Here is an 18,970-nt window from a genome sequence, read left to right on the forward strand (position 1 = left end):
CATTATTTCTGGATCCTCACACAGTAATGCTGGGAAGGGGGAAGGGCAGGTATCATTAAGCCCATTTTTCAGAAGAGAAACAGTCAGGTGAACTGCCTTTTTTCAAATCTACATGAGGATTTAAGCGCCAGGGCCTGGCCCCAAACCAGTCAGCTCTGCTTCAAGACCAGAGCTCTTTCTACCCCCAGGTCTGTTCCCACATGGCAGCAAAGAGGACACAGGAGAACTAATGGGAGAAGTGGGGGCCTTTATTAAGGTCTGGCAGATGTGGTGGAGGTGGAAGTACAAACCCAGGCCTGGGCCTAGGAAAGGGCAGAAGAAAGGCAAAGGGTCCCTTGGAGCAGGAACCCATCCCTCTCTGCTTATACCCAGCACCCCTCATCCCAGGTTCCTTTCTTCAACCTCCGCCTGCCTCTGGGAACACAGAGCACCAAGAACTGACAAACCGGGACCCTCCAGGGCCACAGCGTGGGGCAGAGTCCAGGCTTCTGTCTCCCCGCAGTGGGAGATCTGGGGAGCTCAGTGAACCTCCTCACCCTCCTGCCAGTATGAAGTTGGGAAGCGCCTTCTCTGTCCCCCAGAACAGAACAAACTCTTGTTCTCTGTGGTTGGGGAAAAGGTGTGGGGGGCTTGGACCTAGGAAGAAGCTGAGCTGAATTCCTCCAGGGCCCAGGTGAAACCCCCAGGGGAGTTTCTGAGACTCTAGACTTGCCATTTCTCCACTTTTCCTTCCCAATGACTCCGGTGAGCAGCTCAGAGTCTGGGCTAGGGCAACTGGTAGGACAGTGGGGATCTGCCCCAGAGACATCTGTGGGTTTCAGATGAAGGTTTCCCCAACACCAGATTCATTTATATGTACACAGGGCAGCACCCACCTGCGGCAGGGGGAACAGCCGCTGGGGGCTAGTAAGAGTAGCCACCCTTGGGGCCAAATGGCTGGGCGGGGCCAGCCAGCTCTGGGAGGTAGGCGGGGCTCTCATCCAAGTGGGACAAAGGGACTGTGTCCTCCTCACTGACAGGCCGGTCAAACTCAGCCTTGAGAGCTGGACGCTGATTGTCCGGGAAGGCCAAAGAGAAGAGGGCCTCGGGCTCACACACAAACTTGTACACGTAACGCTCACCAGCCACCTATGGGGAGAGAGAAGGTCTGGTCAGCCTGGCTAGCCGCCCAGCCTTTGTATGGGGTAAGGTGGGGGAGTGGGGAATGTGGCCCTTCTACCAGTACAGGCAGATGCTCGGGGCATTTCTCTCCCATGCTGGTTCCTGAGAAGCTGACTCTCCCTTCACAGTTCTTACTCCTTTTTCATCTCAACTTCTCCATGCTTGGGCTTCTCAGTTACAGTGTTGCACTTTTTTGGGGGAGGAGAACCTTGGGATTCTCCACAATTTCTTGTCTCTCTGACTGATTCATTATCTGATCCTACAAAGTTGCTGAGAACTGCCCTGCTGACCCTCTCCCCAGTCAGCTTCTCACAGCCACTGCCCCCCACCACCTTGTCCCTAGACCCACAGCCCCCACCTTCTGCATGATGCCTTTCTCATAATAGTATCGGAGCGAGCGGCTCAGCTTGTCGTAATTCATGGCTGGCCGGTTCTTCTGGATGCCCCAGAGCCTGGCGACCTGGGAACAAAACAGTTTTGGGGTAGAGATGCTACCTTGGCAGAGGAAAAAATGGGGGTAAGGTCAGAAAGAGCACTTGAGATTCTTGGTGCAAAGTGCCAAGCTAGCTCTGCAACAAAGCATCAGCCCACAGACTTAGGCTTGGCAAGAATTCAGGTTAGGTAAAGCAAGAATCATGATGGAGGCACGTGCCACCATTTCCCAGGTTCTCCCACCTCCAGGCTGTAAACTTTGGAAAGGAGGGCTGGGAACATCCGAGAGGCCCACCTCCTCAGGCTCAATGAGCTTGAACTCCATTCCCCGGCCCGTCCAGGCAATGAAATGGGCATTTGTTGGGTCATCCAGCAAGGCCACCAGAAATTGCCACAGCTGCAGGGCACCCCGGCGCTGGTAGGGCGGCCCCTCTCGAAATGCACCGACCCCTTCCTGCTTGATGTCTCCTGGGGAACACGAAAATAGGAGGTGTGGGGTTTGTGTCTTTTGGTCCCCCAAGCAACCGCCTCCCACCCGAGGGATTTCTCGAAGGGGTCTCCCCAGGTACTTTTCTATGGGTCCCACCCTCTTGCAACAATGAAACGTGATGTGACTCCTGCAGGGACACAGCGTGATAAGACCTTGACCCTCCCATCAACAGTCACTTCTCTGACCTTCAAATTTCTCAGGGACAACGCAGACATCATCTGGGAATGGTCGCAGAGGTTTCTCATAGCCATAGCCTTGTGGAGGAAATTGGGGGTTGCTCAGATCTGGGGGTTCACCGATGAGACCCCAGAGAGTCCAGAGGGACTCCTGGCCAGGGAGACCCTCCCCCATGGCAGCGCTCCCTCCCCCAACATGGAGGGCTTGGCAGGGGAAGGGGGGCTGCCTTACCCATGGCCCCGTCACCTGGAGAGGGCCCAGAGAAGCCCTCTGTGTGGAGGTACATTGATGCGCACCCGGTGACATCTGTGGGGGAAGAAGGGGTGATGTGAGAAGTGGCTTGGGGTGGAGCTCGAGGGCAGGGGAGGAGGAAGTCCTATCCACATTCAAGAATTTCTTCCTTCCAGCCTGCTTCCTGGTGACTGTTCTTTGCCCAGGTTGCCTGCCAACCACAAAATCCCAGGGAAAGTTCACCCAGAGGGAGTGTGATGCTGGAACCCCTCCTCAACTTGAGGGCTGCGGCTGAGGCCATGGAAGGCAGCAGCGGGGGCTGGGCAAGCTGTTCTGAAGGGCCCAAGCTGCCAGGGAGCAGCTGTTTCCTGCGAGTTCAGGGGGAGGAGGGAGGGTGAGATGAACGTCCGGGGAAAGAGTTCGGTGTCCACGCCTAAGACTCCCTCAGAATGGACAAAAATGTCCGGTCAGCAGGTCAGGTTCCCAGCCCTGTGCACGCGCGCGTGTGTGTGTGTGTGTGTGTGTGTGTGACAGAAACAGAGCGTGCGCCTGCATGCACCTGGGGAAGAGGCAGTGGGCACTGGGCCTTGTTTTTTCAGGTCTAACAGAGCACATTCCACTTCGTTTCATTCCATTCCATAGGATAGGAACCTTCCCACTCCACATCGGGAAGGCGGCTGTGTGAAGCCACCCGTTCAAGTTCCAACCCCTTCCCGCCCTCCCCCCACTGCACTCCCACCTATGAATGAGAAGATGGTGAAACATGACACCTCCGGGAGGAGGCGGGAGGGTGGGCTCATTCATGCCTCCATTTTGTGAATGGAATTCCTGACTCCATTCAGGAGTAGCTGGGGGGAGGGGCAGGAGTTCAAGGGCATGTAACACAATCCCCTCCGGTCTACAGCCTTTGAAGGTCAGCGGCAAGAGTGCCTCCCTCCTCCTCTCCCCAGCTCACTGCCAAGCCTGGCTCAGGCTTATGCCCTGGATTTGAGGACAGGAGCACCATCCGGTTCTTAGTTGGACAGCCTGGGGGGTTGTGGTTCATCCCCCTGCCCTTGAACGGTTGTGGGCACCACAAAAAGGGAAATTCTAAAGTTCTAGCTAGCTCTGGGCCTACTCTAATAAACTCAGATCTAGGGCTACTAATGTAACAAAAGCCAGGAGGAAAGAAGAAAAGGCAGGGTTTTCTGGACCCTTCCTGGGACTGGCCCTCCTTCGGCCCTTGAGGCTTTGAACTATAGCTATTTATGAACACAGGTGAGTGCATCTCACTCCAGTCAACAGCCAGGTGGAACTAGAATTTAAAGAAGTCCCTACTTCCTCTGCCCTTGCCTCTGGCCAGGGCATACATCAATTGGGAGGCTCAAATATGTAAGCCACATATTAACCTGTGCTTCTACCAGCTTGATCAACATGGTGAAACCCCGTCTCTACTAAAAATACAAAAACTAGCTGGGCATGGTGATGGGCACCTGTAACCCCAGCTATTCGGGAGGCTGAAGCATGAGAATCGCTTGAACCCAGTGGCACTCCAGCCTGGGCGAGAGAGCAAGACTCCATCTCAAAACAAACAAACAGAGCAAGACTCTGTCTCAAAACAAACAAAACAAAACAAAACAAGAAAACCCTGCCCTCCTATTGAGAACTAGCAAGAACCATGAGCCTGGCTAGTTTCAAATTCATGTTTCTCTTCATTCAAATCCCTTTGTATTTTTAAGCCTCTGTGGGGATAGGGACCAGACACATCCTATTCATCTTTGTATTTCCCAACTCTGCACACTCGTGTTCCTGTCACAGTAGTTTGGTCTTAATAGGTAATTAAAACCTCAAACACCTGTTAAATAGAAATAAATGCCTTAACTTCCCTATTAAGTCACAAGCTACCTGAGGGCAGGATCTACATCCCCCTTTATTTTAATTTTACTTTTTTATAAATAGACACGAGGTCTCACTTTGTTGCCTAAGCTGGCCTTGAACTAATTCCTGGGCTCAAACGATCCTCCTGCCATGGCCTCCTAAAGTGCTGGGATTACAGATGACTCACCATGCCCCGGGGGCCCCCCTTATCTTTTAATCTGAATATAGGTTTGCTCATTGAAAAGTAATAATTTGTCCGGGTGAGGTGGCTCATGTCTATAATCACAGCACTTTGGGAGGCCGAGGCGATGGATCATATGAAGTCAGGAGTTCGAGACCATCCTGGCCAGCATGGCGAAACCCCATCTCTACTAAAAATACAAAAATTAGCCGGGCACGGTGGCTGGTGCCTGTAATCCCAGGTACTCGGGAGGCTGAGGCACAAGAATCGCTTGAACCCGGTAGGCAGAGGTTGCAGTGAGCAGAGATCGTGCCACTGCACTCTAGCCTGGGCCAGAGCAGGACCCCATTTCAAAAAAAAAAAGAAAAAGAAAGAAAAATAACATTCTTTTGAAATTATGAAGAAAAAAAGTGGGTGGGTGGGTTGGATGTATGAAATGGTAAACAGCAATGTAAAAAAACTCGGGAGACATTCTGGGCTTAACTGAACACTTGATCACATGCCACCCTGCCCCACCCCAGTCTCTTACCTGAGTCGTAGGCGAAGTCCGTCTGTTCCTGTTTGATCACCACCCCCGCCCCTGGGTACCTGTGCCCATTGACCCCACCCTGGTCCACGGCTGGCTGGCCCGCCTGTTCATACAGGGGATCATGGTATTCTTGCTTAAAGCTCTGCTGGGGATAGGGTGGGCAGGGCTCCGACAGCTGGTGTTGGTAGGGGGCTGGGAGGGGTTCCCGGCCCCCTCCCTGAGATGTGAAGGAGTGGCAAATGTCCAGGGGCTGCTGGAAGACGGAGCTGGATGTGGTTGGATGGAGAAGGAAGAGAAGAGAACTTTAAATTAATCCTTCCTCGAGCCTGTTACTCCTAGGCTTTTAGAGTGGGCTCCGGAATGGGGGGTAGGGGGTTGGGGTGTCAGTATTTCTCCCTTTCTATTCCACTGCCCCCTGCCTCTACCACCCCACAGCTCAAGTCTTTATGGAGAACACTCAGGAATTGAAAAAACACCTGGGCCCATGAGCAGTGGGTTTCCCTGTCTCCTTACCTATGTTCCCCGAGGTACCCATGGCCAGGGTGGGGCTGGGAGGTGCCAGAGGATCTCAGGAAATTCCGTTGCTCTGCCCGGGGAAAGGGCTGTAGGGGCGACTGTCCAAGGGCACCAGGGGCAGGGGACTTGATGGCGATTTGTCTGGGGGGGTCATAGGCACTGGAGTTGAGAAGGAGACAGGGGTGAGGGGGCAGAGAAGCTGGAAAGCATCTTTGAACCCTTCATTCCTAGGAAAGCGAGGTCACAGGGATTACAGGAGAAGGAAGGATAGAGGGGGCTGAGAAGGGAACGGCAGGAGCCACAGACTCAGCCCTAGCCAATTCTTTTCTTTTTCAGAGACAGTCTCCCTCTGTTGCCCAGGCTAGTCTTGAACCCCTGGGATTCATACAGGGGGGATTTGTTGCTCAGAGCAATGGTTTAGGTGGGACAGTGGGCCTCTTGGTGGAAACAGAATCTGCTCTGGCCTCAGTATATATTCCTGAGGCCCTCTGCTGCGTTTTCCGTCTATTCAGAGGAAATCCTTAGCTGTATTGCTTCCTTACAAGTGCTAGAAAATCCTTTCTGTTGTCTAACTTGCATCTCAGCTGCTGCCTCTGCTCATGGGTGCCCCCTGCCTCCCTCCTCTGGAACCCTTCTCCTACCCTTCACCAGGTCCAGGCTGGGGCTCACCTGGAGTAAAGGCACTGCTCGCCATGGTGGTAGGGGAGTGGCGGCTTCCTGCTGCAGGACAGGGCCGGGTCTGTGCGGGGACTCTGGGGCTCCTTCTTGATCCTGGTGGTGGGGCTGTGGAAAGCTACTGTGGGGGTGGAGGGGACAGAGCAAGGCCAGAGCCTGTCACACAAGAGGCAGGCAGGGCTTCTGATACCTTCTGAGCTTTGAGGACCAGCTGGGTGACTGGTACAGCCTCCTTCCCTCTCTGGGTATCAATTTTCTGAGACCCGCAGTGAGACAAGAACATTTTGGCTATTTACATTATGTCTAGTTTATACATCAGACTAGTGTCTGATTATTGACTAAATAAACCATCTAAAGTTCAACATTTAGGCTGGGCACGGTAGCTCACACCTGTAATCCCAGCACTTTGGGAGGCAGGAGTCCAAGACCAGCCTGGCCAACATGGTGAAACCCTGTCTCTACTAAAAATACAAAAAAAAATTAGCCGGGGATGGTGGCGGATGCCTGTAGTCCCAGCTACTCAGGAGGCTGGGGCAAGGGAATTGCTTGAACCCAGGAGGCGGGGATTGCAGTGAGCCGAGATCATGCCACTGCACTCCAGCCTGGGTGACAGAGCGAGACTCCGTCTCAAAAAGAAACAAAAAACAAAAACATTTAATGCAACCCCAGGCCCCAGAAAACACTTTCAAGGAGTGAGCACCTCCAACCTAGGGCCTGTAGTTTTCCTGAGTGCCCTGGAAAATTCCAGGGGAGTGACATGTTTTCTTATTTGAGGATATAAAGAATCTTTCTTGGCCGGGCGCGGTGGCTCACGCCTGTAATCCCAGCACTTTGGGAGGCCGAGGCGGGCGGATCACCTGAAGTCAGAAGTTCAAGACCAGCCTGACCAACATAGAGAAACCCCATCTCTACTAAAATACAAAAAAATTAGCCGGGCGTGGTGGCACATCCCTTTAATCCCAGCTACTCGGGAGGCTGAGGCAGGAGAATTGCTTGAACCTGGGAGGCAGCGGTTGCAGTGAGCCGAGATCACACCATTGCACTCCAGCCTGGGCAACAAGAGTGAAACTCTGTCTCTAAATAAATAAATAAAAGAATCTTTCTTTTTCTGGTTGAGGTTGGATATTGGCCCACTTGAATGTCAGCTGACTAACATTATACACATGCTCCTACTTATCTGTGAAGAACACTGGCCTTTCCTGTGGCCCCTGCGGGGTTCCCAAACTCTGGCCACGAGGCTGAGCAGCAAAGAGTTGGTTCCAAGCCGGTGTGAGATTCAGTTTTAACCGCAGTCCAGTCAAATGCCGTTTGTAACCAACTATTCTCTGCTGTTTTTGATTCTTTGTGCCCCATTGTTTCACTGGTGAAGACAGTTGACAGCAAAGTATCTGACATTAAAGCAGGGTTTGTTTTTTGGTTTTTGTTTTTTTTGAGATGGAGCCTCGCTCTGTCACCCAGGCTGGAGTGCAGTGGCTCAATCTTGCCTCACTGCAACCTCCGCCTCCCAGGTTCAAGCGATTCTCATGCCTCAGCCTCCTGAGTAGCTGGGATTACAGGTACACGCCACCATGCCCGGCTAATTTTTGTATTTTAGTAAAGACGGAATTTCATCATGTTGGCCAGGTTGGTCTCAAACTCCTGACCTCATGTGATCCACGCGCCTCAGCCTCCCAAAGTGCTGGGATTACAGGCGTGAGCCACCACACCCAGCCTAAAGCAGGGTTTCTCAACAGTGGCACTACTGACCTGTGGGCCAGATAGTGTTTTATTAATAATATTGTAAGGAGCGGTCCTGAGCATCATAGGATGCTTTTAGCAGTATCCCTGGCCTCTCTATCCACTAGACACCAGTAGCACCCCACCCTCAACTGTGACAACCAAAAATGTCTACAGATATTACCAAATGTCTCTTGGGAGGCAAAATTGTCCCCAGTTTATGGAAGTGACTTAGAATACTAGAACTGGGGGCGGGCGCACTGGGCTCACGCCTGTAGTCCCAACACTATGGGAGGCCGAGGTGGGCGGATCACAAGGTCAGGAATTCGAGACCATCCTGGCCAACATGGTGAAACCCCATCTCTACTAAAAATACAAAAATTAGCTGGGTGTGGTTGTGCATGCCTGTAATCCCAGCTACTCTGGAAGCTGAGGCAGGAGAATGGCTTAAACCCGGGAGGCGGAAGTTGCAGTGAGCCGAGATTGTGCCACTGCACTCCAGCCTGGGTGACAGAGCAAGACTCTGTCTTGGGGGGAAAACAAACAAACAAACAAACAAACAACACTAGAACTGGACTCTGCTGAACTGGCCCAGGCCCCTCACTTCAGATATAAGGCAATGGAGAACCAGAGGGATAGTGTCTGCTCTAAGGTCACACAGCAAGAACATGTCAAGCCCCAGATTTCAACCAAGGTTTTCATTCCAGTTATTGCCTTGGTCTTTAAGATCAAACCCCACTGTGTTTTAGGAGAGAACAAGCTGCTCTCTTGTGATTCTCTATCCTATGACTCACTTCCTGCCATCCTCCACTCCCTATACCCTCTCCCCAGGGACCTCTACTCACGGTTTTCTGAATGGAAATCAGGAACAAACTGCTCATCACTGTCTGGTACCTGAGCTGCAGAGAGAAGTCAGAGGTGAGTTTGGGGCGGAGCCCTGGTTGTCCCCTGGGAGGCTCCATTATTACAGCCCTGCAGATTAGCAACAGCCAAGAAAGGACCAACAGCCTTTAGATCAGGGGTGTCCACATTGTAAGAATTGTCTTGGGCCACACATAAAATACACAAATACACTAACACTAACGATAGCTGATGAACTTAAAATCACAAACAAATCTCATAATGTTTTAAGAAATTTTACAAGGAATTTATGTTGGGCCTGGGCCGCATTCAAAGCTACCCTGGGCTGAAAGTGGCCCACAGGCCCACGGGTTGGACAAGCTTGCTTGAGACTAAAGGCTGCTCCACCCTAGGTCCTAGTGTCTTCCACCTCTGGGCTCCACTAAGACCCAGGAGGGAAGACTGTTCTCAGAACCTGTCTGAGCAGATTCCAGTCTTTCTTCTTCTAGATGCTTTGTCTTTATTTCCTCCATTTTTCTGAAGTGAAACAGCCTCGCCCCTCAGAGTTTACAAAACTCCCTTAAAGCTCACAACAGTCATATCTAGGATGGGCAGGCATTATAAGCAGTGGGATCCTGTGGATTTAAAAATCACATAGGAGGCGGCCAGGCATGGTGGCTCACGCCTATAATCCCAGCACTTTGGGAAGTCAAGGCGGGTGGATCACCTGAGGTCCGGAGTTCGAGACCAGCCTGGCCAACATGACGAAACCCCATCTTTACTAAAAGTACAAAACTTAGCTGGTCGTGTTGGCGGGAGCCTATAATCCCAGCTACTCAGGAGCTGAGACAGAAGAATCGCTTGAACCTGGGAGGCAGAGGTTGCAGTGAGCTGAGATCGCACCACTGCACTCCAGCCTGGGCAACAAGAGTGAAACTCCATCTCAAAAGAAAAATAAAATTAAATAATAAATAAAATCACATAGGGGGGTGGCTGGGCGCAGTGGTTCATGCCTGTAATCCCAGCACTTTGGGAGGCTGAGGTGGGAGGATCACTTGAGATCAGGAGTTTGAGACCAGCCTGGCCAACAAAGTGAAACTCCCATCTCTACTAAAAAATTAAAAAATTAGTCAGGCGTGGCGGTGGGCACCTGTAATCCCAGCTACTCGGAAGGCTGAGGCAGGAGAATTGCTTGAACCCAGGAGGCAGAGGTTGCAGTCAGCTGAGATCATGCCACTGCACTCCAGCCTGGGTGACAAAGTGAGACTCTGTTCCAAAAAATGAAAAATAAAGGCCGGGCATGGTGGCTCATGCCTGTAATCCCAGCACTTTGGGAGGCCGTGGTGGGCGGATCACGAGGTCAGGAGTTTGAGACCAGCCTGACCAGCATGGTGAAATCCTGTCTCTACTAAAAATACAAAAATTAGGCCGGGCGCGGTGGCTCACGCCTGTAATCCCAGCACTTTGGGAGGCTGAGGCGGGCAGATCACCAGGTCAGGAGATCAGGACCATCCTGGCTAACACAGTGAAACCCTGTCTCTACTAAAAATACAAAAAAAATTAGCCGGGTGTGGTGGCGGGTGCCTGTAGTCCCAGCTAATCCTGAGGCAGGAGTATGCCTGAGGCAAGAGAATGGCGTGAACCTGGGAGGCGGAGCTTGTAGTGAGCCAAGATCAGGCCACTGCACTCCAGCCTGGGTGACAGAGCAAGACTCCATTTCAAAAAAAAAAAAAAAAAAATTAGCTGGACGTGGTGGCACGCCTGTAATCCCAACTATTCCGGAGGCTGAGACAGGAGAATAACTTGAACCCGGGAGGTGGAGGTTGCAGTGAGCTGAGATCACACCACTGCACTCCAGCCTGGCGACAGAGCAAGACTCCATCTCAAAAATAAATAAATAAAATAAAAAAGGAGGATGACAGTGGGAGAGCAGGAGGCTGGTGACTGGGACCACTGCAGAAGGCAAAGGACACTGGCTGAGTACATAGGTGCCTCATCCCCTTAATGTGCAGCTAAGGAGGGGAGGGATTCCCAAGGTTGGTGATCCGAAGAGCTCTCCCAGGATGCCAGGATGGGTGGAGCTGGGTTGGGGAATAGGCAGGAAAACTGAAATACAGCAGCAGCTCATCCATGGCTTCTAACCTGAACATCAAACTCTGATTTCTAGTTCTTATTCTGGCCTCCCCAGAGCGGGGCTTCTCAGGTGGTTATACAGCTAAGAATCTCCCTTGATCCCAGAGTCTTGGCCCACTTTTGCCCCTCTCTCAAAAATAAATGGATCACAGCAGGAAATGTAGACACCAAGAAGAACTTCCTGATATTATTCCAGGAAGAGAGTGGTTCTAGGGTGATGCAGTGGAACCTGTAGCCCGAGGAGGCTGGACTCTCCTTCCCTGGAGACTGCTCTCTCCTTCCCTGGAGACTGCTCTCAGATTGGACAATGGGGAAACTGATAAAATGCCCAGAGAGGTCAAAATGGCTGGTGAGGGGTATGAGATGGCTAGAAAAAACCTCCACACCCCCGGCCTATACAAATACATATCCCATCTCTTTTGCTTCTCTCTAGGCTAAGGCTCCATCATTTCTTACTTGGATTTCACCCACGGCCTCTTACCAGGATACCCTATTTTCATTCTTACCTCCTATGGTCCCTTGCTCTCCACCTAGGTGTCACAGTGATCTTTTTACAACAGAAATAAAATCATTTCTCTCTGTTATTTAAAGCATGAAATCCAAACGCTTGCCCTTGGCCTCCAAGGCTCTGCATGACTTGGCCTTGCCTACCTCTCTGACCTGCCTCTCCTTGCCTGTGAATCTGCAGCACTCTGGTCTCCTTTCTAGCCCTCAAAGCTGCTGAGCTTGTTCCTTCTTCCCCAGATGCTTTCTTGCCTTTTTCTTTTTTTCCTGACCATCAGAGTCTCAGCTCACTTTGACATCTCTGGAGAGGCCTTCTCTGACCACCCCTAAACCAAAGTGGTTCCTCCTGGCTCTCTATTGCATCTATGTTTTGTTTTCTCCCTGGCACATATTGCCACCTGAATATATTAATTTATGTTTACCTGTTTGTTATCTACCTATCTCCTCCACCAGGAAGTTAAGCTCTGTGAGGGCAAGAGCTTTATCTTTTTTGTCATCTGATGCCCCAGCACCCAGCACAGGGTTAGAGTAGACGCTCAGTGCTGTTATTTCTTGACTACATGAATAAACATGCAATAATCGTTTGTCCTCAGGCTGGCAGAAGTCAGCACTGTGGGCCTGAGGGCATGCACTGAAGAGATCCTGACCATCCTAGCCCTTCCCTGCAGGCTCCCCCTCTCCACACACAAGGCAACACTAGAGGCAGGTCCTCTCCAGGAAAGCACATCTCACAGGGGATATTTTAGGTTGTGATATGTTGCTTGGCAAGAATATTCTTCAACAATTTGCTTTAAATATCAGAGGTGCCAAGTGTTTATAAACATAGGCTTATATTAATAGATAGTTGATTTCTTGACAGAAGCATTAGGGAGAGGGAGTTTAACAATCACAAGCCACCAGCAGCTAAACGAGAACTTAGGACAAGTCAACATAATAATACTTTGGTCTGAAGTGACCAAAGACATCAATGAGACATGAAATCCGCTGGCAAGAACAAACAGAAACACACAGCCAGCACACATCTTTTCAGGAGCACAAACACGGCAAAAAGACAACCATTCCCAAACTGGCCTGATTCAAGAGTCACCAGGACGTTGTTAAAAACACGATTACAGCCAGGTGTGGTGGCTCACGCCTGTAATCCCAGCACTTTGGGAGGCTGAGGCAGGCAGACGATCTGAGGTCTGGAATTCTACACCAGCCTGGCCAATGTGGCGAAACCCCATCTCTACTAAAAATACAAAAATTAGCCAGGCATGGTGGTTCTCGCCTGTAATCCCAGCTACTCTGGAGGCTGAGACAGGAGAATCGCTTGAACCCAGGAGGTGGAGGTTGCAGTGAGCCAAGATAGCACCAATGCACTCCAGCCTGGGCAACAGAGTGAGACCCTGTCTCAAATAACAATAATAAAAATAAAATAAAAACACGATTCCCAGTCCCCTCCTCCGGAGAGTCCCATTCCATAGGACTGGGGTGGGGCCCAGGCATCTGCATTTTAAAATCTATTATAAGGAAGTCTCCTGTGTCAGGCTTGAGTGCAGTGGCACAATCAGAGCTCACTGCAGCCTCTAACTCCTGGGCTCAGGTAATCCTTTCACTTCAGCCACCACAACCTTAAAAATAGGCACATTTGGATAGAGGGTAAGAGGCCAAATCTGTCCACCTGCCCAGGGATGCAAAGCCAGGCTCCCCACTGTGCCCTCTGGTCCATTCAGAGGCAACATCCCCCAAGGTGGCAGGAAGCTGGGGTGATGGGAGCAGAGTGACCAACATTTCCCTCCCTCCTACTAGGCAAGAAGGGTCCCAAGGGAAAGGGTGGTGCAGAACTCAGGGGTGGCTGACGCATTCCGGCCCCACCCCTGGGGCCTCATTAACTGCTACTTTCCATTGAGGTAATGGGCTGGGGGTATCTCTTGCTGGCGTCACTGGTGCTGGAGAGCAGAGAACCCTCAGCATCATCTTGCCTTTCTTCCTGCCTCGGGCCTGACAGTTTAACCAGGGACCCCTCCAGGCCCGGAATCCAGGAGGAGGCTTCCTCCAGCACACAGACCACACCCCAAAAGAGGTGGTGCCATCCTCTTCCCAGAGCCAGGAGAAATCTGTCCTAGCTCAGCCCCTCCCCCAAACACTGGCCTTCTCCCAAAGGGGTAGGCCAGGGCCCTCAGTCATCCAGAGACTGTCAACAGGATAGAAACAGGAACACTGAGCCTCGCGTTCCTGGAGAGCAGGAGAATTTTTAATTACCATGTTTCGTCTTAAGTGTACACCACTCTCTTTATTTATTTGTTAACTTGGCTGAGTCTTGGCTGCCAAGCCAGTGTGCCAGGGTCTGTCCCCAGCTCCATCCCGGTACTAAGATGGAGTTTATCTGTCTGGGGACGAGGCAGATGATTAAGGAGGGGGTGGGAAAAGTGCCAAGACAGCATAATGCCCAGAGAGAGAGAAAGAATTTTAGGGACTCTCCTTTCAAAAAGGGGGGTTAGTAAAAAAAGAGGAGGGGCTTGGGGGGTCTCCCAAGCTGGATTCTGGAAGAACTGAGAGGTTAAAACAGAGATACACTGAAGCTCACCATAGGTTAGCCACCCACACTACATATGCTCGGTCACCCTCTTCCCAGGATCCAGTCATAGGGTGAAGGGGGTAGAGGCATTCTCCAGAGCTTCTGCTCCATTGTGTCACCGCTGTCCCTTACCCTGCCCCCACCCTGGCAGCCTCTGTACTGGAAGGAACCAGTTCACTAGTTGTGGAGGGGACATATTTGTCCCCAAGAGTCTTCAGGAAGGGGAAGAGACAGAAAGATGGAGAAGGAGGCATTGTAGCTGGGAAAGATTAGGGAGGAGATTAACCTCATCCCTCCCCACAGACATGCCGAGGCACCAGTGTACATGCACTCGGACGCATATTCAGGGATGCACACACCCTAATTCCTTTTACTTCACTCTTGCAGCAGCAAGACAGCACAGGGTGAAATGTGCCCTCCATGCATGCCCTCCACACATGGGGTCTTTTTTTGACCTACAAATATGATTGGGACAGCCAAAGGGCAAAGGGACTGGAGCCCTTGGAGGAGGGTTGGGGAGCAGTGATTCCTGTGAAAAGGGGAGCGCAGATCGATCGATCCCTTTGAGAATCTGATAAAAGCTATGGGTCATTCTCTTCCTAAAAAAATCCATACACCTTTATGTATGGTGCACTTCCAGCAATTTTACACACAGTATCAGAGGGATCAAGGATCCCAGCAACCTATCCATAGGGCTTCTGGGAATCCACAGACCTGAGCCTCACACAAAGGGGTCATGGCCTAGAGTCAATGGCCCTTACTACCAAATAGACAACAAAGTCATTTTCCCCAAGGATTCAGGGCTCCTGACAAGCCTGGAAAGGAACCTTGGACAAAAAACCAGCATATCTTTTACCATAGCCAGACACATATTGGGCTCAGCCTGCCTGAGCCTGGGTCTCCCTGTAGCAGCCTGATTCTTTCCCCAACATCTCAACAGATCCCAGGCACCCCCAAATCAGACACGCCCTCCTAGCCTCACATCATTCACCCCTGTGTACAAAAACCCAACCCCAAGGATATGTGAGCTGCCTCCATAAAGCCGCACTCACACTCACCCTTCAACGCCCGGACGCAGGACACTGAACCTGCAACCACACTGGAATCTTCCTGTATCTGCCCGGCTCCAACCTGTGCCTCCTCCAAATGCTGTCTTCACAGACCCACCCACACTACCAGGACCCCCCTGCTGCTTCTCTTCAAATTGGGGCTTTGGAAAAAACCAAACTGAGAAAGGGAGGTTGGGCTCTGGTCCCCTTTCCTCCTAATGCGTCCCACCACTGGCAAGTTTCCAAAGAAGCTAGTCCCTCCCTGCCACCCCAAAGCTCCCCATGGGTTGCCGGGGTCACTGACCTGGTGGGAAGAGACAGGAGAGGAGGCTGGGGTGGTGTTGGGATGGTGCAGGGGGACAGGGCCCCGGCAGCTGCATCTGTCTCCGCAGAGAAAGTGAGAAGGAGCGATCGGCCTCAGCATCCCCCCCTCAGACCTGGCCATCCATCACCAGCTGGGAACCTGAGCTGCTCCCTCAGAAGGAAGGAGAGGGAACCAAGGAGATCCCAGCGCCCACCCCCCTCACCTCCGCCTTGCAATCCCCACCCCACCTCCCCACCCACTGGATTTAAATGTACAGGGCAGCAGCATGTAACTAACACACACACACTCTCTCTCTCTCTCTCTCTCACACACACACTTGCTGTCACACCGACACTGACACAGACAGACATTTGTACCCTCTCCAGACCCCTGGCCAAGGGGTGGGACTTCCAAGGTAGAGAGATGAGAGCATTTTCCTCCCCCTCCCATCTCAAACCCAGGCACAGATGGACCAGCTGCTGCCAAAATGCCAACCTCAGCCCACCCCTAGCTCACAGCCCTAGGAGCTGCCCACTGTGGGGACTCTCAGCTGACAGGCAAGGAATGAAGCCCGGTGAGCCAGAGAGAAATCAGGCACTGGGAAAGGAAGTCTTTGAGAGCCCACGGAAACTGACACCTCTGCATTCTTCAGCTCTAGCCCAGCTCCAGAACCTCAGAAGAAGGATGGGGAGACGGGGCAAAGCTCTGCCTGTAAATTGGAGCTGGGCATGCAGGACTTGCAGGGTCGGGGATGATGCACACAATACCCTCAGAACCTCCAGATCCCTCCAGCACTCACACAGCCATTCAGCCATTATTTCCACAAAATGTCTTGAGTGCTTGCTCTATGCTAAATAGTCATTCTGTCAACATATATATTTTTAGAATATCATAGTGGGCAAGACAGACCTAGTCTCACTCCAAGGATCTAGTCAGGGGTCATTTTCTTTTTACTCCGAGCTTCTATGGAGAGTTCCAGGGTAGTTGGATTTGAGCTTTAAAAAAATTAGATACCCAGGGTGGAGGGATGAGGAGATCCTAAGGAAAATACCTCAAAAAGACCTCAAAAAAGGAGTTCCTAGTGTTTTGGCTTCTTCATTTTCATAGTGTTAAAATAAACCCTAAGATGGGGGTAGTTAACCCTTCCCTCTCAGAGACTGTCTAAACCACCATTTTCCCTCCCACCTGCAGCCCCACCAGCGACACCCTCAGGCCCCACCAAAACGCACTGAAGAATCCAACCAGGAAACCTCCTGAACACACCACTTCCCCATCAGACCCAGCCACGGACCCAGCCACGGACCCCACCCCAGCCAGCTCACAGCTAACTCCCCAGCACACAGGAAGGGGGGAATTTGCCTGGAGGCAGAGGTATTCAAGCGGGATGGAAGAGGGAGGAACACTTGCTATTAGAATTACAATCAAGGCTATTTGGGGAGGGAGCCCTGGGCTCTCTGTGCCAAAGGACTGCCGAAAAGAATTATTTAAACTTTTGTTGTTCTTTTGGCTTGGACAGTAAATTGTTTGGTGCTGGGGGTTGGGAAGAAGAGAAACCCAGGGGATAAGAATCAATGCTTGGGCAACTCTGGAGGATGAGTGACAAATTAATTTCTCCCCCCACCCCCCACCAACAACACCCCAACATGCACCTTGGCCTGGCGGCTTCTGCAAAACAAACTTTACAAATGAAAATTTCAACCAGGAAAATGGGCCTGGGGCCAAGTTCCATTCAAATAAGCAAATACCCCACACAATGGTCTGATTCATCCTCAAGCCTAGTTACACAAGCCTGGCTCAGGGTAGAGAAAATAAATATCAATATAAGTGTCCACGCTGGGTGCTGGGGTGAGTAGAGTGGCAAGGGACCTGGGGAGAGGGCCTTGGAGAACTCCTTGAGGCAGGGAAGGGAGAGGAGAAGTGTAGGGCTTAGGGTGGAATACCAGGGGCTACGGAGTGTCCCCCTGTCCAGCCTCCCAAAATAGAAAAGGTCACAAAACTACTCACCTTCAGCGAGCCACGTCTCCTGGAAGTGACTTAGATCCTGGAAGAGATCTGAGGGGTAAATAGTGGAATTGGAGGTGAGGTGGAGGGGACGGTAAGAGAGAAGGGGCCCTAGCAAGACCCGGTGACTCCCCTGCCTTGGGAGTAGGGACCGAGAAGAATGACCAAAATCCCTTGGAGGGCGAGTTTTTTGGGGAAACAGGCGGGGGTTCCAGAATCGGCCGTGTGTGTGTGTGTGTGTGTGTGTGTGTGTGTGTGTGTGTGGCGGAGGAGGGTCGCGGTTTGTCTCTCTTGCTCTTTACCTTCAGAGTCGAGGGGCGGCAGGGAGCCCGGGTCCATGAGCTTCCCCAGCGGGCCGATCAGCGCTTCGCGCAAGCTCCCATTTCCGGGCGATTTCTGCGAGAAGCGGGGAGAATGCCCGCGAGTCACCCTGAGGCGCTTAGTCTGGGGGACGAGGTTGGGGTCCTCGGGTGACTCAGGGGCGGGGCAGCCCAGGACTCCGCTGGGACTGCGGGGAGGGGGGCTGTGGTGAGAGTAGGGGCTGGGTGCGGGGCGGGGCGGGCGTGGAGGCCGGCGCGGCGCTCACGCTGCTGAAGGTGTAGGGCACTTGCTGGTCCAAGTATCCGGCTTTCATCCTCCGCTCCATCCGGCCGCTCCCTCCGGCCGCACGGCCGGGGCCCCAAGCGGGGGCCGAGACCTGGTGGGGGAGGGGGCTGCGTTCGCACACCGTCCAGGGAGGGCTGCGATGGGGGCGGGGAGGGGGCAGTCCCAAGGCTCTGGGTCCGACGGCGAAACTTCTCCGACTCACTGGGGCGATGGCGAGGTTTCCGCCTGCCAGGCCGAGCGCCACCACCACTCCCCTCCCGCCAAAGGCCAAAGGAGGTCCCACCTGCTCCCAGGAGCCGGGCTCGCCGTTTCTGCTTTCTGCAGCCCTGCTTTACCCGGGCTCGGTTACATAAGAACGTGTGTGTGTGTGTGTGTGTGTGTGTGTGTGTGTGTGTGTGTGTGTACGCGCGCGCGCGCGGAGGAGCAGGCGAAGCGCACACCATCGCATGCCCACAACTCCCGCGCCCCCTCCAACCCTGAATCCCAGCACCTCCCACCCCCGCCCTGGAATCTGCGGAGGCGGGTGGTGAGAGTGAGTGTGGTGTGCATTGGAGGCGAGGCGGGGAATCACAGACACTCTCCCTCCCTTTCCCTCCCGCAGCCTCACCTGAGGCCGGGGCGTCTGGGCTGGAGCCGCGGGGGGTCCCGAGCATGCCCTGGAGCCCGCACCGAGGGCCGCGGGGCTAGGCCGGAGTAAGGCGGCCCCGGCCCCGGGTCCCCAGCGCACCGACTTGTTTTTCGGGCGCAGCAGACAGTTGTGAGCCCGGGGGAGCAGCTGATTGGTGCATTTCCTTCGCTCGGCCTCAGCTCTCCACCCCCCGCCCCGCCACACCGCCCCCCGTTTCCCTTTGTTTCATTGACTTTTGTGAATGGAACCCCAGGGCTGGGCACGCCCGCCAATCCGGAGAGTCGTCCGGCCTGGCCGGGGGGCGGAGTTTCCCAGCCGCGGGGGCCAATCAGAATGTAGGGGTTGGCTCCCGGCTTCATTCAGTGCTCCGGCTCCCATTC

At 52.8% G+C, this 18,970-nt stretch overlaps 2 protein-coding genes across 11 annotated transcripts in view, besides 9 other annotated features; one reads left to right on the plus strand and one right to left on the minus strand.

The window, feature by feature from the left end:
• Window positions 1-17,184, plus strand: part of DHX8 (DEAH-box helicase 8) — a 60,825-nt gene extending 43,641 nt beyond the window's left edge. The window contains exons 23-24 of the mRNA NM_001322219.2: window positions 8,797-8,883; window positions 16,547-17,184. Coding sequence (NP_001309148.1) covers window positions 8,797-8,863 — 67 coding nt within the window. The 3' untranslated portion in view covers window positions 8,864-8,883; window positions 16,547-17,184. The remainder of the gene's footprint in view (window positions 1-8,796; window positions 8,884-16,546) is intronic.
• On the minus strand, window positions 231-18,725 carry ETV4 (ETS variant transcription factor 4). 10 transcript variants are annotated; one of them, NM_001079675.5, is made up of 13 exons: window positions 18,570-18,725; window positions 17,943-18,053; window positions 17,659-17,752; window positions 17,360-17,407; window positions 8,811-8,864; window positions 6,244-6,370; window positions 5,572-5,733; window positions 5,059-5,324; window positions 2,492-2,566; window positions 2,269-2,337; window positions 1,889-2,061; window positions 1,520-1,621; window positions 231-1,128 (listed from the first exon to the last, which is right to left on the minus strand). In NM_001079675.5, the coding sequence occupies exons 2-13, from the start codon at window positions 18,000-18,002 to the stop codon at window positions 904-906; spliced, it is 1,455 nt and encodes a 484-aa protein (NP_001073143.1). In that variant the 5' UTR covers window positions 18,003-18,053; window positions 18,570-18,725; the 3' UTR covers window positions 231-903. The 10 variants fall into 10 exon arrangements, with proteins under 10 accessions (NP_001073143.1, NP_001356296.1, NP_001356297.1 ...); NM_001369367.2 differs by lacking the exon at window positions 18,570-18,725 and adding an exon at window positions 18,246-18,284 and having other exon boundaries at window positions 6,244-6,367; NM_001369368.2 differs by lacking the exon at window positions 18,570-18,725 and adding an exon at window positions 18,246-18,284 and having other exon boundaries at window positions 2,507-2,566.
• Window positions 980-1,521: an enhancer, noted in NCBI's record as "H3K27ac-H3K4me1 hESC enhancer chr17:41605963-41606504 (GRCh37/hg19 assembly coordinates)". NCBI's record gives its function as "activates a minimal SCP1, AML or CMV promoter by ChIP-STARR-seq in naive H9 embryonic stem cells {active_cell/tissue: H9 hESC(naive)}" and the evidence as "EXISTENCE:reporter gene assay evidence [ECO:0000049][PMID:30033119]".
• Window positions 12,787-13,287: an enhancer, noted in NCBI's record as "H3K4me1 hESC enhancer chr17:41617770-41618270 (GRCh37/hg19 assembly coordinates)". NCBI's record gives its function as "activates a minimal SCP1, AML or CMV promoter by ChIP-STARR-seq in primed H9 embryonic stem cells {active_cell/tissue: H9 hESC(primed)}" and the evidence as "EXISTENCE:reporter gene assay evidence [ECO:0000049][PMID:30033119]".
• Window positions 17,314-18,091: an enhancer, noted in NCBI's record as "H3K27ac hESC enhancer chr17:41622297-41623074 (GRCh37/hg19 assembly coordinates)". NCBI's record gives its function as "activates a minimal SCP1, AML or CMV promoter by ChIP-STARR-seq in primed H9 embryonic stem cells {active_cell/tissue: H9 hESC(primed)}" and the evidence as "EXISTENCE:reporter gene assay evidence [ECO:0000049][PMID:30033119]".
• Window positions 17,921-17,980: a silencer, noted in NCBI's record as "silent region_8556". NCBI's record gives its function as "represses an Ori minimal core promoter by ATAC-STARR-seq in GM12878 lymphoblastoid cells {active_cell/tissue: GM12878}" and the evidence as "EXISTENCE:reporter gene assay evidence [ECO:0000049][PMID:35858748]".
• Window positions 18,021-18,070: a silencer, noted in NCBI's record as "silent region_8557". NCBI's record gives its function as "represses an Ori minimal core promoter by ATAC-STARR-seq in GM12878 lymphoblastoid cells {active_cell/tissue: GM12878}" and the evidence as "EXISTENCE:reporter gene assay evidence [ECO:0000049][PMID:35858748]".
• Window positions 18,092-18,869: an enhancer, noted in NCBI's record as "H3K27ac-H3K4me1 hESC enhancer chr17:41623075-41623852 (GRCh37/hg19 assembly coordinates)". NCBI's record gives its function as "activates a minimal SCP1, AML or CMV promoter by ChIP-STARR-seq in naive H9 embryonic stem cells {active_cell/tissue: H9 hESC(naive)}" and the evidence as "EXISTENCE:reporter gene assay evidence [ECO:0000049][PMID:30033119]".
• Window positions 18,521-18,640: a silencer, noted in NCBI's record as "silent region_8558". NCBI's record gives its function as "represses an Ori minimal core promoter by ATAC-STARR-seq in GM12878 lymphoblastoid cells {active_cell/tissue: GM12878}" and the evidence as "EXISTENCE:reporter gene assay evidence [ECO:0000049][PMID:35858748]".
• Window positions 18,691-18,830: a silencer, noted in NCBI's record as "silent region_8559". NCBI's record gives its function as "represses an Ori minimal core promoter by ATAC-STARR-seq in GM12878 lymphoblastoid cells {active_cell/tissue: GM12878}" and the evidence as "EXISTENCE:reporter gene assay evidence [ECO:0000049][PMID:35858748]".
• Window positions 18,851-18,900: a silencer, noted in NCBI's record as "silent region_8560". NCBI's record gives its function as "represses an Ori minimal core promoter by ATAC-STARR-seq in GM12878 lymphoblastoid cells {active_cell/tissue: GM12878}" and the evidence as "EXISTENCE:reporter gene assay evidence [ECO:0000049][PMID:35858748]".

The sequence above is a fragment of the Homo sapiens genome, chromosome 17 (genome assembly GCF_000001405.40).
Source record: "Homo sapiens chromosome 17, GRCh38.p14 Primary Assembly".
Classification (NCBI taxonomy): Eukaryota; Metazoa; Chordata; class Mammalia; order Primates; family Hominidae; genus Homo; species Homo sapiens.

What these genes read in the sequence shown, in the direction of transcription:
- ETV4 (NM_001079675.5), bottom strand. Translation starts at nt 18,002, where the DNA reads ATGGAGCGGAGGATGAAAGCCGGATACTTGGACCAGCAAGTGCCCTAC. An exon ending in TGTCCCTGAGAAATTTGAAG is followed by an intron (nt 2,062 to 2,268) that starts GTCAGAGAAGTG and finishes CGTGTTCCCCAG; the next exon opens with GAGACATCAAGCAGGAAGGG. An exon ending in AGCTCATTGAGCCTGAGGAG is followed by an intron (nt 1,622 to 1,888) that starts GTGGGCCTCTCG and finishes TTTTGTTCCCAG; the next exon opens with GTCGCCAGGCTCTGGGGCAT.